The sequence below is a fragment of the Homo sapiens genome, chromosome 1 (genome assembly GCF_000001405.40).
Source record: "Homo sapiens chromosome 1, GRCh38.p14 Primary Assembly".
Lineage (NCBI taxonomy): Eukaryota > Metazoa > Chordata > Mammalia > Primates > Hominidae > Homo > Homo sapiens.
This window is the reverse complement of record NC_000001.11, coordinates 168,423,236-168,441,885: the sequence shown is the minus strand read 5'-3', so window position 1 is coordinate 168,441,885 and position 18,650 is coordinate 168,423,236. Positions and strand designations below refer to the sequence as shown.

At 46.3% G+C, this 18,650-nt stretch overlaps 1 long non-coding RNA gene across 7 annotated transcripts in view, besides 2 other annotated features; it reads left to right on the top strand.

The window, feature by feature from the left end:
- Positions 1-18,650, top strand: part of LOC125312414 (uncharacterized) — a 95,450-nt gene that overhangs the window by 53,755 nt on the left and 23,045 nt on the right. The gene's annotated exons all lie outside the window — the stretch shown is intronic.
- Positions 1,798-1,947: a silencer, noted in NCBI's record as "silent region_1544". NCBI's record gives its function as "represses an Ori minimal core promoter by ATAC-STARR-seq in GM12878 lymphoblastoid cells {active_cell/tissue: GM12878}" and the evidence as "EXISTENCE:reporter gene assay evidence [ECO:0000049][PMID:35858748]".
- Positions 13,342-13,883: an enhancer, noted in NCBI's record as "OCT4 hESC enhancer chr1:168397241-168397782 (GRCh37/hg19 assembly coordinates)". NCBI's record gives its function as "activates a minimal SCP1, AML or CMV promoter by ChIP-STARR-seq in primed H9 embryonic stem cells {active_cell/tissue: H9 hESC(primed)}" and the evidence as "EXISTENCE:reporter gene assay evidence [ECO:0000049][PMID:30033119]".

The window sequence follows — 18,650 nt, the reverse complement described above, 5'->3', positions numbered from 1 at the left end:
CAAGGACACTGCAGCATCCCACCTGGGGCACTGCAGTTATCTCAGGTCCATGCCTCACTGCAGCTTGAAGCCTGATGCTGATGAGTGTGCAGAAGAGCTGCTTCACTTCAGCTGCCTTTAAGCCCCTGGCCACTTCTGGTCCCCAAAGCCTACAGTTAAGGAAACAGAGCACATTCCCGCAAACAGAATCCTCAATAGGGCGGCCTGGCAGCCATCTGCATACTGGGCAAAGCACATGCAAAGCTGCATCCATTGGTCTGAAAAGCATCCTTTTTATTACTGACTGTGTCTAGCCAAACCTTGGGCAAGGGGGTAGGAAGATTGGGAAGGAGAGCCCTCTGAGCCCTTAGGGCCTAAATGTGCTTGTTCAGGCTAAAGGGAAAACAGACTCTATCTATTCTCTTTTGATGAGACAGTGAGCTCCTTGACAGCAAAGACTGCGTGGGGTTCCAGAGGCATCCCCAGTGCCTAGCCTGCACACAGGAGGTTCTCAGTTCATGTTGACAGCTGGTGATGGCTGATGAATGGCCAAGCCCATCAAGTAGGAGTGCAATACTGCAGTTTCCTCCCATGTCCCTGGAACACCACCTCCTGCCCCCACCATGATTCCTCCCTCCTCACCTCTACCACATGCTTCCAGTGCCCCAGGAGCAAAGGAAGAGCTCCCTCTCTCTCCCCATTGGAACCTGATTTGTTGAAGTTGCCCCCCACCTCAGAAGCCAGAAGAGAGGCTTCGATGGAAGGCACACAGCCGTTCTAGCAACTGAATGGAGATCATAGGTACATATGTATATATTGATTGTGATACTTCTGAGGGATCTATCTCAGTTCCCAGAAGAAGAAAATGGCATGGCTTTTTCACTGGGCATGGTCACTATGAGCTTCAATGATTGAAATGGAAATTAAAGTGAAAGGCTTTCCTCAGTCCCCAATAATGTATGTTTCTGTCTTGCCTTATACAAATTTCCCCCCAAAAGCTATTCTATTTGATAGCCTGCCTCTCTTCTCTCTCTCTTCACTCTCTCTCTCTCTCTCTCACACACACACACACACACACACACACACACATATACATGCTATGTAATGTGGTGCTGGAAGAGATATTAATCAATAACTACTGAATCAATAGTAGTAATTTTCTCACTTTGATTTTCAGTAGTAATCAATAACTACTGAAAATCAAAGTGAGACTGAGGACCAGAGGTAAGTGACCTGACTAAGTCTCACAGCCAGTAAGTGGCCTTACTAGACTCCTGAATTCCAATCCAGTGATCTTTTCACTTCATTATGAAATTGTTTGGTTTTGTTTTCTTGTTTGTTCGTTTGTTTTTGTTTTGTTTTGTTTTTGCTTTTCTTTAATGTCTTCAAAGGAGAGCTAATGTCAGGTTTTTCCTCACTGAGAAGTTGCAACATCTCCCAGGTAAAAGCCAGGTCCTCCAGGTAAGACATTCTCCCAGATCCTGCTTTTTTTTTTTTCCTTTTTTTTTTTTTTCTTCATTCTCCTGGGATGCTGTCTCACCTAAAATGGCAGGGAGGACCCTGGACCGCTCACCTTCCCATGTAATAAGTGATAAGTATACTTATCATACAAAAGAGATGGAGAGGCTCTTCCCTATCACAATCTAAAGCCCAGACAGATACAGTCATCATTTGTGACAATGAAGATTTTCCTTTGCAAATGCAGCAACTTAACGGTAAAATTGTGGAAAGGAGGCTGTGTGTGTTCACCTTGGTCGGTGCTGCAGCCCAAGCACAGCTGGCGCCTCTAGGGCGCATTCAAGTGAGGGAATAGTTATACTTGGCAGGCAGTCCTGACCAGCCATTTTGCCCAGGTCTCCTTGGATGCCTTCAGACTGCAGAGATCTTATTCAGTTTGCATCCCCCGCACAGTCTGCAAGCCAAGCTGCAGACATCAATCTGTTTCAGGAGAAAGAGCGCCACCTCCTGTCTCTGGACTGCAAGACCATATTTCTTTGAAAACCGCAGTGATGTTCTAAGCGGCTCAGTGCCTAAAGAGATCCGCTCTCCACAGCGAGGGGAGAAAATGGCACCTATGAAATTCGTACCGATACCCCATGTCACACTGTGAACCAGTGACTCTCCCAGGAAAACCCTGGACAAGCCCTGCAGCACGCATCCTTCTCCTTTCTTACAGTTTCATTTCTCCCCTCCAGCTTAGAACAGATGGAAGCCTTAGAGGCTTGTCGTTCAGCTGAGGATCTGAATGTAAAGAGACATGCTCAAGGTCACACAGCGGCCCCGTTCTAGACCCAACACAGACTTCTCCCACGCCAAGTAAAGGCTGGATCGAATTTATGCATTTCAGATTTCTTTCTCTTTGCCCGCAGTAGAAATTTTGCAACAGAGTTTTCTTCACTACTGCTTTGCTGATCTCACCCACTATGATCCCAGCTACAGTCCCCTCTCTCTTCCACATTATCCTTTGTAGTATAGCTGTATATGTTCAAATGTTAGCTCCCCTATTAGAACCCAAGTCTCTTGAAAGGAGGCCAATACCTGATTAATTCTTGCAGCCTTTTGGAGGACTTCCTGCTAGTTAAGCATCTGGGGACTTAGCTCCCCATGCCCTATTTCTTCTCAAGGGCCTCAGAAATCAAATCCACTCTCCTGGTCTTTTTAAAGCTGTCATCATCTACTGCTCTCTTAGGGGTCCTGTTTCCCCAAGAATGACTGAAAAGGACACAAGCTCTCTGGTTTCTCGCTTAGTATCTTCTTTCCTGTTCAACACCCCCCCAAAAAAATTACATCAGCCCTTAATATTTCAAAAGTTTTATTTCTAATCACTACCAGCAAACAGATGAGATAACAAATACAACAGTTTTTGCAATTGACAAAGTTTCCTGAGATTTTTCTGAATGATTATCTCCTGAAACAAAAGAAAATACTCAATTGTGAACTCTACTTATCTTTGCTCTCATCCCACCCCCAAAAAAAGAAACTTGAGAGTGGAGCTGCAACTTTACAGCCTAAGGACAGGAAAACCAGTGCCACGATTTCCACCAGAGGAGGCTCCACAGCCACAGACCGTCACATAACCAGTCTGCCTCATCCTCCTCATCTGTAAAATGGCCAGAATAAAAGTGTTTACTCATAGGAAAATCCTTATTTGAGGATTAAATGAGGTCATTTAATCCCCAGAGTGGTATATAGCAAAAATTAAGTCCATGGTCGATGGTTATTTAATTCATTAGGTAATTTATTTCATAAAACAAACCTGATGACAAGAGAATAGAACATAAAGGACAAAAATCTTCAAGGAAAGTAGCAGGGGCTCAGCTGAAGTATAAGGAGTAATACTGTGGGGGATGTGCCAGTGAGTACCAGGAGGAAAGATGCCTTGAAAAGATGCGGGGGGAGAGAAAGAGAAGAGTCCAGAGATCTCATCATTTCACTTCAAAAAAAAGGTGGCCATAAAGCAAAACCCAGGCCTTCCATTCTGCTTCCAGGTCCCATCCACGGAGCTTTGTCCACAGGCATCTGGGCCACCTCTCTCATTAGAGAACGGGGCCAGTCCTGCTGTCCTGGCTGACTTCGGCTCCATTAATCCACCCCTTTGCCTTCCATTCTCCTTGCAGGCTGCCTGTGCTGAAGGCCTCTTGCACTCCTGTGCTATCCCAACTTGCAGTAATTGCTTGGGGTTGTAAATCCAGCAAGTAGAGGAGGCTTTCTGTAGCAGGTCCTAGGTCGGTTGCCTGAGGACAGCACTGCTCTCCCCAGCCCCTAGCACTGAGAGGCCCTGTGGGAAGTCCACGCCTGCCATGGTGGTTGTCCTGCCAACAGCATCTCCCTTCAGGGTTCATCTTATTTTCTTCTGATGAACAAGCAAAGGCAACCAGACTCTCCGTAGGTGTAAGTTGGCACGCACATTTGGCAGGGAGGGTGGATTTCTTGGGGACATTCCATTACTCACTCTCATGCCCAACCCACCCTGTGCTGAGGCAGCAGAACCTTCTCCCTTACCAAGCATTGAGGACGTCCATTCGCCAGGCAGCTGGTAGTGAGCAGGGAGGTGAAAAAGGGGGTCTTTCTGAGAAGCAGGTTAGCAGGTGAGCCACCTGGAGACAGTTAGGGAAGGTAGGTCTATTTTTCTCCACCCAATGTCACCGAAGAACCCATTCACACCCTAAATGGGCTAAGAAAGCCATGTATAAAATGCTGATGCCAACTAGATTGGCATCTTGGACAAGCCCTAGAATGAAGCTCAGGGAATGAAGCAATGTGTTTTTAAGCAGGACCCTCAGCTCCTGCATCCCAAGTCTACAATCTCAATCTCAATTTTGCCAGAGTTGCAAAAACCATGAAATGGCCTCACGTGTAACTCACAAGTAACCCATCGACTGCCCATCAACCTTGAGATAGACATAAAGCTCCTTGTTATGCAGGTTACAACTACCTTGGAAATAAGTTTTATAAGTAATCACAAATTTTATTTCTGTATTTTGATTGTTTTCATAAAACTATAACCCTCTTAGGGTAATTTTGGCAAGTCCCAGGGGTTTTTTCTGTGGTCATCTGTGCCTAGCCCATGTTGAACACTCAGTGTATTTCAGCACCTGTGTCCCCAGTGATTCAGGCTAGAGTTGTGTCTCCTTCCTCATGCAGCAGTAGTGTGATACCTGTTCAGCTTATTCAGGAACACAAGTGTTGGCTGCAACTGTGAAGGTCACTGCTATAGAACCATAGTTGTCAAGTGTTGGCAGTTACCTTAATTACTTAGAGAGTGTGTTAAAATTAGAGATGCTCATCCTATACTATTGAATTTGAATCTATGATGATGAGTAGTTTTAAGAGGTTCCCAGGGGTTTCTGAGGCACCCAGAGTTTGCGAGCTGCACTCTAGCCCCTGGCTACTCAAAATGTGGTCAAAGGACCAGCCGCACCCATACCTAGAAGCATGTTAGAAATACAAGCTCTCTGGCCCTACCCCAAACCTCCTGAATCAGAATCTATATTTTCACAAGATCCCAGCTATTCATTTGCATGTTGAAGTTTGAGAAACACTGTCCTAGGACAAAGGCTATAACATCCTAGCAATCTGAGGTAAGTAAATAGCAGAATTTCCTCCTTGTTTTCAGGGTGAATGACCCCTGCCAGTGTAGTGACTGCTTGCCTTGCCTGCTGGGTAACAGAATCCAGAGACATGCAGCAGGGGCAGCTGGTTGACCAGAACCTTCTAAACAACCTTCAAATTCTGTCCTACCCACTGTTGCACCTTGCCCCTAATCAGTGATGTTACAGATTCAGAGATGGTGAAGGGGATATACCCAGACAACGTGGCAGACTGAAGTCTGGGTCCAAATCTCAGCTCTGCTGCTTTCTAGCAGGGAAGCCATGAAAAAAATCACATCACCCTTGCGATGCTTAGTTTCTGTACATGTAGAGGACATCTGAAGGGTTCGCAAAGATCATTCCAGCTTTTCATGTAACTCATCCTTCCCTGTCCATTTCACACATATGAAAAGTCACAGCTGGAAGGGATCTTCGATCACCTGGTCCAAACTCCTTCCTTGCTGTCCCCAACTCATACATGGGGAACCTGGGCCAGCCAGACAACCCATGAAAGGGCAGAGCCCTGACCAGAACCTAGAGCTTCCAAGGCCGAGTTCAGCATGCTTTGCACCATACAGTGACTGGGACATCATTCTTGGGTTAGGTGGTCGAGGAAACGTATTCTGAGACAGAGATTTGTATGCAGGATGTTTACTGGGGAGTACTCTCAGAAATAACATCTTTAAGGGAGTGAGAGGAGTAAGATTGGGCAGAAGGAGAAGATGAATCCTACAGGAAGCCCGGGAGCTGGGATGTGCCACAAGGTTGTCCTGAATCAAGACAAAGGAACCAGGCCTTTGTATTCCACACCAACCACTGTGGGTAATCTTTATAGACGGACTCAGAAGAGAGCCGTTGGCCATCCATCAATACTCCCAGCAGTCAGGGGACAAGTAGCTCGGTTCTGTGTGGGAAATCTGGACAGCACACCCTTTGCACCACCAGTTCACTTGCTTCACAGCCCAAGTGTGCCCTTTCTGGGAGCAACTTCACTGTTATTCTGGCTGCTCTCTTCACCTGGGGAAATTCTCAGTGGGATACTAATAGGACCAATCGCCATTACTGCTCTGATCTTGAGGCTGCCACTGAGTCTTACGCTGCCCCTCCTCTACTATCCTTTCCAGAGTCCTCTCACCCTTGGCCCACGCTTCTGCTGGCCTACATGTCTGGTGGGGTGACTCGAGCCCTCATCACTGAGGACACTGAGCCCCTGGTCACCACACTGTTCTCTGGCCGTAGCTGCTACATTTGTACATTTACCTCAAATTGGGCAGGGGAGTATCAAGAGACACCCCAATGTAGCCCCTGAATGCCAAACAGGTTATCTCCCGCCCTCTTTAAATAACAGCAGCACTGATATCCTGCTGATATCAGGGCCAATGGCTCCTGCTGGTTTGGAGATTCCTTTCCCTGCCTGCTGAATATCTTGGTACAAGGAGCTAGAAGAGACAGATGGCAATGACAGCTTAAAGTATAATGGGCCCTTATCATATACCTGGATGGAAGCCTTCTCCCTCTGGAAACCAGCACCTCTAGACCCACAGAGTCTGCTGGGGGGATGGAGAGCAACAGGATCCACCGTGAGTCACTGGGAGGGATGGTAAGCAGGGCCACTCCCACATTCACCCCTCAATTCCAGGACCCATTAATTCCACCCTTTGCAGCACAGCCCCCTACAGTGGTGGTTGATTTACAGGGTATACCACATTGTCACCTGAATCCTTAATACCATGGCTGTTCTACCTTCATACCCATTGCTCAGACACTGGAATGGCTGAAGACTAAGACTGGCTGATGTCAACTGGCAAAGTCATTCGGTCTATGTGGTTATCTGGTGCCTCTTCCACAATAGCTGCTGTCAGGTGGCATTAACATGCAATACATAGACTCCAGTGCTTTGTTCTCACTCCCATTGCCCATCCCCATGCTCTTCCCCAGCCCCTGACACCGGCCATTTGATCTTTTTCTTTCCAGGCCCCTGACCAACCAGCCAAGCCATTCACTGTTCCTCATGAGCCAATATATATTTGTACTTTAATCCACTTCTCTTTCCATACAGAAGAATGACTAGGTCTACCTTCCAAAGCTCTGCATATTGAGAGAATTTCCTCTCATCTCTCTCTTTCAGGGACACCCTCAAGTGGAACTTTAGTTCATAGCAGTCCATTTTGAAACTGGAACCCACATACAAAGCCAACCCATCTGTGATCCATCTTGACCTTTTTTCTCCTCTCTCAGCTGTTCATCAGGGAGCCTCCACTGCAGCCATAGGCATGGGTACTTGCTGAGGGAGAGGAAACAATAGTGGTGATGTGGGGGTCTGAGCCACCTGCTCATATAGCTCCTGGTGATCTCTGGCTCTGCTTGTACTTCATACTGAATGAACCACTTGCATCTTAGAGACTCACCTAAAAGAGCCCAGCTCATCATGGGTGGCTCTCTTCAGCCACAGTAAATGCCTGAAGAGGGACTTGGCTGAGTCCTCAGCAGCCAACACTTTGACAGCTGGGGGAGTGAGTACCTCGTCCTTAAAAGGGAAATTAGGAAAGTGCATTACAGAGCCCACATCAGCATCGAATCTCCAACACAAGTCTATGAAGAAGCTAGGGATGGCATTAATACTGCCATCTTGCAGATCAAGAATCTGAAGTATCACAAGGTTAAACAACTTCTTCAGTTCATGGAAAATCAATCCAGCCTCAGAACAACAGTGTCTGAACCAGGACTGTCCAATAGGAATACAATGTGAGTCACAAATATAATGCTAAATTTTCTAGTAACAATATTACAAATAATTAAAAAAACAGGAGGAATTCATTTCAATACCAAATCATATTTATCCCAATATATCCAAACTGTTATCATTTCAACATGCAATCAATATTTGTAAATTAATGGACACTTTACATTGTTCTTGTCATGCAAGGTCTTTGACATCTGGCCTGTGTTTCATGTTCACAGCACATCCCAGTGTGAACTAGTCACAATGCAAGTGTTCAGTGGCCACAAGTGGCTAGTGACAACTGTATTGGAACCCATAGCTCCAGACTCTGTTCAATTATCTGTGCTATCCTCTCGAGGTACTCCTTCCTCAGAAGGAGCCTAGACCTGGAGGGAGATGCTTGGGCAACAATCCTGCTTTGGGTGAAAAGCTAAGTCCCTGCCACTTATCAAGCTTCCAGAACACCCACACCTTTAGCACAGCACAACCTGCTGCCCCCATTTAACTTAACAGGTGTTTTGCCACTTGCCAGGAAGGTTCAATTTGAAAAGAAAAGAAAAAAGCAGTAGTAGACAAATGTTTGACTCCATCTCTGTGAGTACCCTGTAATTTAATGCTAAATTCAGCTCGATTTGGTTTCTGTGGCAACCCAAGGAACCAGCTCTCCACAGCTCATATCATCACTCTTTGTCAGATTTCTAAATACAGGGTGCCTGGAACACAGTCGTTATCCCAAATGTCTGAGCTCTGATACTCTCAGAAGCCCCTGATCCTGAGCTTGATCCACAGGTACAAGGATGCAGGATGGGAGCATCTTAATAAAGTCTTTGCCCAACACAGGAAATGTAGAAAAGACAGGATTCAGGAGCCTTCATTCCTAGAAATCTCTTGAAATGGGGCAGACTGTCACTGGTCCAATAAGACTTTGGAAAAGAACTTCATGGAGACAAAAAGAAGCCTTGGACCTGATGCAGTCATTGCCAACCCATGACAGCTTAGGCAGTGAACATGTTCTGCAGGGATGGGCCCCGTGTGGCAGTCATGAGCCCTCAAAAGCAAATTTGGGCTGGGCACAGTGGCTCACGCCTGCAATTCCAACACTTTGGGAGGCCAAGGCAGGCAGATAGCTTGAAGCCAGGAGTTCGAGACCAGCCTGGCTAACATGGTGAAACCCCATCTCCACTAAAAATACAAAAAAAAAAAAAAAATAGCCAGGTGTGGTGGCACGTGCCTGTAATCCCAGCTACTTGGGAGGCTGAGGCAGGAGAATCTCTTGAACCCAGGAGGCAGAGGATGCAGTGAGCCAAGATCACACCACTGCACTCCAGTTTGGGTGACAGAGCAAGAGTCTGTCTCCAGAAAAAAAAAAGCAAATTTGTCTACTTGTGTCTTCTTCCCTTTTTTGCAGGTAGCAAGCCTGGGATTTGGGAGATGTGGATTTAAATCCTGGCTCCAGCATTGACTTAGATGCTTGAGGTGCTTACTTGTCTCTGAGCCCAGAAATGTGAAACCACCCTGGAAAACCTTCAGCCACCCATGGCCAAGGCCCCAGGACTGCAGTTAATGATTCAGTCATCATCTGATAGGTATTAGTCCCTCCCCATTCAGTGCTGAGTTCCTTCCTATTGGCTTAGAACCCCAGAACAGATCCATTTCCTTAGAAGTCTCTGGAGCAGTGACTTCCAGATTCTTTTGAACACAACCCACCATACAAAATGCAGGTAACATCGTCACCTAGAACCTTGATCTACCCACATTCCTGATGAGTTCCTCCAATTCATTCTGCACACTCACTCTATCCAGAGTGGTCTTTTCAAAACACACATTGTCACTACATAAACCTTCCTGGTGACCTCCCATTGCTCTCAGGATAAAAGCAAAACCCCTTTAACTTGGCTCAGAGAGCCCAGACCACAGGCTCCATCTGCCTCTCCAGCCTCATCTGTGCTCAGCCCTCACACTCTGCAGCCTCCCTCCCACCACAGGCTGTGTACAGGCTCCTCCCTGTGCCTGAAGTGCTCCTCCACCCACAGCTCCTCCACCCACACCTCCACCTAACCTGGTTAACTCCTACTCATCCTTCAGATCTCAGCTCAGCTATCCCTTCATCCCTGATTTCCCCAGCCAGGTGAAATCTTTTGGTTATGAGCACTGTATGTTTCTCCCTTAACACATACTTGTCACAATTGCAATTTTACATTTGTTGATATATTTGAGCTCTCCCACTGAACTTTATGCTCTGCAGAGCAGGAATACTCTCTGATTTTACCCAGAATTTTATTCCAATGCTTACTGCCGTATTTGACATCAAGTAAAAGCTCAGTAAATATTTGTCACACGATTGAATGAAAAAATGAATTTCAAGTGACAGCTCCTGACAAATGGTAACACTTTCAGAGAGTTCTCTGTTGAAAAGACTTCTTTTTTCTTTTTTTTTTTTTTTTTTTTTTTGAGACGGAGCCTCGCCCTGTTGCCCAGGCTGGAGTGCAATGGTGCCATCTTAGCTCACTGCAACCTCCGCCTCCCTCCTGAGTTCAAATGATTCTCCTGCCTTAGCCTCCCAAGTAGCTGCAATTACAGGCACAAGCCACCATGACCAGTTTTTTTGTTGTTGTTGTTGTTTGTTTTTGGTAGAGACGGGGTTATACCATGTTGACCAGGCTGGTCTCAAACTCGTGACCTTGTGATCCACCCACCTCGGCCTCCCAAAGTGCTGGGATTAATGCCAAGGAGACTGGGCTCAGTTTCAGAGAGTATCATAGTTGACTGGCATTGACTACCACAGGCTCATGATTGGGAGTAGTGGCCTGAGTCCTGATTGTTCACCCTCCGTATTCTGGAATCTGATTTTCCTGCAAAGGCCCAGACCCTAAGCAGTTTCCTTAGGTTGGTTAATTGCTGGAACGGAAGCCCAAAGCCCATCCAAATCCTTATGGAATACCCTGGAACTCCTCTGATCCCTTCAGATTTCAAGTTCTGAAAGGAGAAGTATCCTCAGATTTGGGGCCACCAATCCTCCCTCCCAAGGAGATCAAAGCAAGAGAATCCAATCTTTATAAAATATGCTCCTGACATCTGCAGCAAGACTGAGGAGGCTGCAGTTCTCCAGGACTAACCAAGGCAGGGCCAACCCAGACCCCGGATAGAAACTCCACCCCGAGTAAAGGACAGGAGCAGCCCAGTGATCCAGTCCACGGCCTCCCTCCCCACCCTCCAGGTACCCAGGGCTGAAATGGAGGTAACAGCCCCCATTTCCAGACCATGTGTCTGCTGTAGCTACAGAATCAGACTTGTCCATTATTTTGCTTGGGATTGGTGAAAGGGGAACCGAGGGTTTGAGGGAAAAGTCTGATATTTCATGGTAGGATAGCATTTAGCTGGAGGTTGTTTTTTTTCTTTCTTTTTTTTTTCATTCCGTTCTTACTGCTCCTCTCTGCCACCCCAGTTGGCTCAATCTTTGGGCTTCTGTGCAGCCCTGCCGATGCCAGACAAGTGGAGTGAGAAGATGCCCTGCTGGGAATGATGGCTGCAGCGCAGCAGTCAAGTGCTGTGTGGGCCCTCCCGGCCGCCCACGCTGCTCTGAGCAATGGCTGGCTGTGACCCGCACGCATCCGTCCCTCCGCGGGGCCTGAGGAGGTTATTCTCTCAGACACTGTCCTCAGCTGAGGCTCTCCTTGCAGCCAACAGCTCCCTGAAAGAAGTTTGATGGCTTCAGTCAGGCCTTTCTCTCGTACTCTGCCAAGAATGTAGTTTCGAGTCTATTTTCAGTGAGAATTTAAGAACCTACACTTTAAGAAAAAAAAAAAAAAAAGCTACCCCTCACCCACCACAGTGCTATGTGTCAAATGGTCAAATGTTACCCGGCATGGATGCAGCACTTTACAGAGCTCTCTCACTCTAGGACTTTACCTTACTCCCTCAAAACCCTGGGAAGGAGATGGTAAAACTAACCCAGTTTTCAGGCCTGGATGGTTCAGTGACCAGTCAGGAAAGGGAAGACTTAGAACAAGGACCCGGGACTAAAGTGCTCCCCTTTTCCATCTGTCTCACCTGGCTGCAATAGTCCTTCCCTGAGGAAAGCACCTCATTCTGGGGACCCAGGAGAGGTAAGAGCACCTGCCAGGCAGCCTCTGCCCCTCAGAGCCAAGGAAGTGACCCAGAGCTGGCTGTGGTGGGGAGCGTTTGCACTCTGCAGAGAGGAGCAGACTGGTAGGGGTGCTTTCAACTCAACCTTCCTAACTCCCTCCCTCTACCTGTGATGCTGTAATGAGCCACTTGCTATATTTCTACCAGGGTTGGGTGTCCTCACTCCAAACGAATGTCTGAGAGTTCTTAGGGGAAATGCTACCTACTCAGCAGTTCTTAGGGATGTGCTGCCTAATTCTGTGAGAGGCAGCACATCATAGTCAAAGGAACATCGAGTTTTAGGGTCAGAAAGATCTAGGTTTGAATCTTGGCCCTTCCCTTGTGACGCTGGGTTGCCTCCCAGAGCATCCAGCCCTGCACCTCTAAACTGTGGTTAATATTACTTATCCTTGTCAGGCTGCAATAAAGATGAACGAGTACAGTGACTAGTACAAGGCCTGGCACACACACACACAAAAAAAAAACAAAAAACCCCTTAAAGAAATACTAGCTCTTATTTGTTTTTATCAGTCCTTCTCAATCTGTTTAATTCAGCATGAGATGCTTCAGCCCTAGGGACACTGCCATCTTTTGCTGCATTAAAAGAGAATTTCTTGGCCAGAACGTCATAGTCCCTCAGGTACTCTGCAATGTAGACCATGTCTGGGGTTGTACGTCTGTTTCTAAGTTTCAGAGCTTCTAATCTATCAAGTGTCAGAGTTCCTCTCCCATCCAGATTATAAAGCCTTCAGGGCAGAAGTCTTCTTCTAAATAGCTATGTATACTTATTTCACTGTCCCTAGCACAGAGCAGGGTACAGGGTGGGCATTTTCTAAACAGCTGGTGTTGTCTGGTCAGGGATTCCTAAGCGGGTGGCTCTGTCCCCTCTCTGGTGAAGGCTGTGAAGCATTCTCAGCTGGTCAGTTTTCACCTGGGTCCAGTGACATTAGGCATATTGCTGGTGCCATCTTAGGTGGGGTAGCCATTAATTACAAAATCATACAAATTCCACAGGTGCCAGGTCTAAAACATGGTCCCAGGGGAAGAGGATTAACATTTACTGAGAATCCTCTATAGATCAAAAACACTAAAAGTATTGTTGTTTATTACTAATTAGTCTCTGTAACTGTCTTAGGAGATATCCCAACATTCCAGACAAGGAAATTGAGGCCTACACGGGTTAAGTAGCTAGTCCAAGATCTTACATCTAAGAGGCTGAGCCAGCATTCAAACTGAGTTGATCTCATTTAAAAAAAAAAAAATGCTTTTCCAACTTCATACTGCCTCCCACGAGTTCAAAAGGCATGAGACCTCAAGGCTACCACAAGAAAATACAGAGAGTTGAGTTCACACCAGTCCACTGAGCCCCTGAGGGATGTTCAGAGACCTCGGGGAGCAGATGGGTGGAAGTGCCTGTTCCCAGGGAAAGGGTCCTTCAGTGCTGCTTCCTGCCCTTTTCTCCCCTCTGCAAAGCCACACTGTGCTCCGGGGACACTTGGCTGCAGTGCCCTCACTCTTCACTTGCAGAGAAGCATCTGTCTCTGGCAGATCTTGGCTGTCCAGCTCCCCCCACTGCAGGCTGAAATGATTCATTCCTCAAGAAGGTGCCCAGCTTGTGCCTTGGGACCTGTCAGGATGAAGGATTCCAGTGGGGCTGCCTCTCACCATTTGTATGCTGATTTGGTTCCCTGAAATTCATTCTTATGCTCATTGCCTTTTCCATAGTGTCCCTCCCTCTCCACTTTTCCTTTTTCTGATATAGTACAGCAATGTATTTGGCCTCTCTTGCATTCTAAAAATAATTCTGGACTAGGGCTTTTTTCTTTGCAATTGCAGAGCTGCCTGGGCTCACAGTGTTCTATCCGTAGAACATAACCCTCTGTTTACTGAGTAAGATATGTCTGGAAATGTTTTTCTGGGCAAGTTGTCCCAAAGGGTTAATATACTGAGGAGGCGACAGAATAAGCATTTGCTGAAGGGATTATTTCTAAAAACACTTTAGACATAGATGATGAGGGGGAGCAGTGATCAATTGATAGATGTCCTTACAGATCATCTAAGCCAACCTGGAGCAGAATATAAAATGCCTCTCACGATCTTTAAAAGGTGATCAACTAGGCCGGGCGCGGTGGCTCACGCCTGTAATCCCAGCACTTTGGGAGGCCAAGGCAGGCAGATCACAAGGTCAGGAGATCGAGACCATCCTGGCCAACATGATGAAACCCTGTCTCTACTAAAAATACAAAAATTAGCTGGGCATGGTGGCGCGTGCCTGTAATCCCAGCTACTCGGATGGCTGAGGCAGGAGAATGGCGTGAACCCGGGAGACAGAGCTTGCAGTGAGCCAAGATCGCACCACTGCACTCCAGCCTGGCGACATAATGAGATTCCATCCCAAAAAAATAAAAAAAGTGATCAACTAAGCTCCCTCCAAAAACAGATAGATGATAGATAGATAGGTAGATAGACAGACTCAATTTTGTGCCAAGCAGTATATAGGATTTAGTGCTATGTGATGGTAAATAAAATAAATATAAGATGTACATGAATGATATAAATATATAGATGGTATAAGATGACAAAAGAATAAATTAATTAATTTGGAGATAAAATATACCCAGATCTGGTCCTCATGATGAAATCTCCCTCCTGGTTTTGCCACCACTTGGCTAACTTTCCAGAGCTGCCACCCAGGGCAGCAGGCATTTCTCTTTCAGAAGCTTTGCTTCCGGAATCAGGAACTTCCTCCCCAGCTGCCTACCCAGTTCTCCATAAGAAAGCATATTCTACAGTGTCAGAAAGTCTCAGGATACAATATATGCACAGATTAAGCAAAAGGCACATCATTGCACATTCCACAGTGCCCCCTGGTACTGGTTGACATGTAAATGGAGTTTCTGCAGCTAGTTCCAATTCCCTAGTTTAAATCATATCTCTCTCATTCAGCATTTCTGCACATTAAAAAATAAACAGACAGAGGCTTCCCCAAGTGAAGCCACCCTCTCTGCCACCAGCCACATCAGATTGGACCTTACCTGTCCCTTTGGCTTCCCTTCTCCTGGGATCCCAGCCCCCAGATCCAGTCCTGGAATGCTTCCTGCTCAAAAATTTGTTTTTGATCATTACACCTTCTAAAAATAAGTATCGTATGGCCTGGCACTCACCCCAGTGTTCCTTTCCAGGACTTCCATTTCCATCCGCATCCTGGCCCTCCTCCCAGGTGATTCTCAAGTCTGGTCCCATTTCAGGGTCAGCACTAGCAGGACCTTAGTGGACTGAAAACCCAATCACAATGTTACTATCCTAGCCCCACCGGCCAGTACATGCACACCATCTGAACACATTACTCTTGGCAGAAAAGATTCTGGCCTAGAGTCAGTTGAGGGGAAACAAGAATGATGTCTACTAGGAAATCAAGCTAGTGATTTGATTGTTTTATGGAATCATAGATTCTTAGACTTGAAAATAGCTTTAGAGGTCACCTAGGCCAACCTCTAACCTAAGGCCAAATGCAAATTGTCCCCTTTGATATTTGGAAGATGACCATCTGAGCTCCCCCATTATGCAAGACAAAATTATCAGTACCCTCCCAAATACATCTAAGGATGCCCAGAAGTGCTTATGTTGTCCAAGATGTCTCTTATGCCTCTTCCAGATACCCCCTCTCTGTCCTTTATCCCTGGCCAACTCATAACAGCTTCTCCTGGCTGCCCAAGCTGCTCATCCTGTTCTCTGTAAAGCCAAGCCTGGACACTGGCATCCCCCTTCACTTCCTAAGACATTGCTAACTAAGGACTCTAGCATGTGACAAACTCTACCAGGGCCGAAAGACAGCACATGGGCAGAGGTTCTTCCTGATCATCTTTCTTCTTAGCATTAGCCTGCTACCTTGTGCTCAGAACCTGCCCTGCTCTCCTGAATGGGATGTTCCTTCCAACATCCCCTCTCCTGGGGCCCAGGCTCCTACCTTTAGTCTCTGGGTTTGTCAGCAGAAGCCAAAATCAGTCACCATTTATATCAGCTCAAATTAGGTTTACCTGTGAGTGACTGAAAACCCAAAATAACAGTAGCTTAACGAAGACCGTAGTTATTACTTCCTCCCATAAAAGTCTGGGTGCTTACCAGGCTGGTCCATGGTGTCAGGGACAAAGACTCCTTCTCTTTTGTTGACCAGTCCTGCAGAGCCCTTGTTAATGACTGGAAGGGGCTTCAACCATCCCAGCCACATCCAAGAATTGAAATGGGGGTAGGGGGAGAAGGAAGAGAGAGCATGCAGAAACTGTCCCATTGCATCCTGTTAGCCAAAACTTGATACCTAGAGACCCCTTGCTGCAAGGAGGCTGGAAAAAAATGTAGTCTTTATCCTGAGTAACCACGTACCTAGCTAGTATTTCCATAACAAAAGAAGAGGAAGAGAGGAAATATTAGGGGTAGGGGAGAAACATTAACTGTCTCTGCTGAGTAAATACGTCTGTTGATTCCAATTCATTGTTGACTTCACCCTTTCCTTTCTATGTCCTTCCCTCATAGCTGCCATCTTTTTTTTTCAGTCCCATTGTTCCTATTCTCATTCTTGTTCATGGATTCTCACCTAGGATTTTGCCACAGCCCCCCAACAGGCCTCTCTGCCCCGCAACTCACTCCTCTGCTTCTCCCCTTGGTGACCTTGCTAAGCAGAGCTGTTACCTCGGACCTCTCCAGGCCAAACTCCTTCAATAACTCTCCACTACCTGCAAAATGAAGATCAACTGCATGGCCAGACATTCCCTACTCCAAACTGGCTGTAGGGTTAGGCTTTATTTTGCAAGTGGTGGGAATTCATCAAAGGTGTGTGGACTAGAGAGGTACAAAGTAACAGCTCTGCTCAGCAAATATAACCAAACAGACCTTGTGTTTGACTTTGGCTTCCCCACTTCACCCTCCATCTTTGCCTCTCAAACTCCCACCCATGTTTCAAGATCCAACTTGACTGTCATCTGCTCTATGAGCATTTTCCAGTTCCAGCCTTTGTCCTAGCTCTGCCAGTGTCACCCTTAAATACACACACACACACACACACACACACACAAACACACTCCATCACCTCCCTCACCTTCTCTGCTTCTGTGTTACTGTTTCATTTCATTTTGTTTCCTCTGTATTGCAGAGATGATGACTTTGTGTCTGTGAATCCATCTATCCCCAGCACTCTGGTAATGTGGACCATGCCTTGTTCATCTGTCTCCCACCCAGGGACTTGGACAAAGTGCTCAGTTGACATTCATTAAACTGATCATCGGTACCAAGAAATTACAAATAGATGCGTAAAAATCTGGAAACAGTCTTTCTCAGCAACCATTCCAGAATTACAAACTTTCTCTAGCATGACCGTAGGATCTAAATGCAGTTCCAGTGGAATTAAATGTATGGGTTGTTTTGTGTCTATAGCATGACTCCTTCCTGTCTGAGAACTTTCTGGAACCCAAATTGCTAGTGCAGCTGGAATCAGGGTGTCTGACAAGAGGCAGCTGTCACTTCACATTTTGCAAAATATTTCCACAAAAATTGCCCCAAAATGCAAAAATCTTTCATTAGGAAGAGCTGATTCATGGAATTTATAATAGGAATCCTGTATGGCTGCATAATTCAGTAGAGGAAAATAGAAAAGAATAAACAAGTATTGGTCTCTCCAGGCCATTCCTTTTGAAGCCAAGTCAGGGCACAGAGCACTATGGACACTGCATGACCAGCCTGGTTGAAGGCAATGTTGGAGATAAACTTTCCCACACAGAAACCCTTCTCAGCCCTGAGTCTCTGTAAAAATGCACAGCTCTTGCATGTACATAGAGACTTCTCTTCCCCAGGCAGAGGAGTCAACGTGAAAGCCAAAGCCAAAGCACACTAGCCCTTCAGAGATCAAAAACCCTGTGACACTCTCAGAATACCTGTGTCCTGACAGATATTCAGCAAAATATTTTGTGACAGTGTCACCATAACCTCTTTGGAACACAGGGCTGTAGGTCCCATCCTTCCTGCCTTTCTATGTACATCTCATGTGGAATCTTTCTCTCTCTAGTACATTCAACCTCCTTCTAACAACTGGTTTCTTCCAGTTAATTTTTTTTAATAGAGATGAGGTCTTGCTATGTTGCCCAGACTGGTCTCAAACTCCTGGCCTCAAGCGATCCTCCCGCCTCTGCCTCCCAAAGTGCTGGCATTATAGGCATAAGCCACTGTGCCCGGCCCCTCCAGTTGACTTTTAATGCCTAAACTTTTCACTTGAGAAAAATTAGCTTCCCTCAGGCTTCCTTTCGCTGGCTCCTCCCCTTCTCCCTGTACTTTACTTGTTAAGATTCCTCAGGGTCAATCATTAGAACTCAATGATTCTCCCTCTACACTATCCCTGGAAATTTTCACCCATACCCACAGCTTCCATAACCACCAATTCCCACATGACCCATAGTTTTCTGTGTCGAACCCAGATGCCTTCCAGCCCCATGCCCATCAGCCCAGCTGCCTACTTATCATCTCCGTTAGATATCTCAAAAGCATCTCAGATTAATCAGGTCCAAAACCAAATCCTCATTTCCATCTCCCAATCCTCCAGACAAAGAAACAATAAAAAAAGACAAGACTCTTCTCCTAGTGTTTCCTAACTTCCTGAATGATACCAACCAGGTGGATAAGCAGAAACCAGAACCCATCATGGGCATCATCTTTTCCATGCTATTCCCCAAAGCCAATCTAGCACCAAA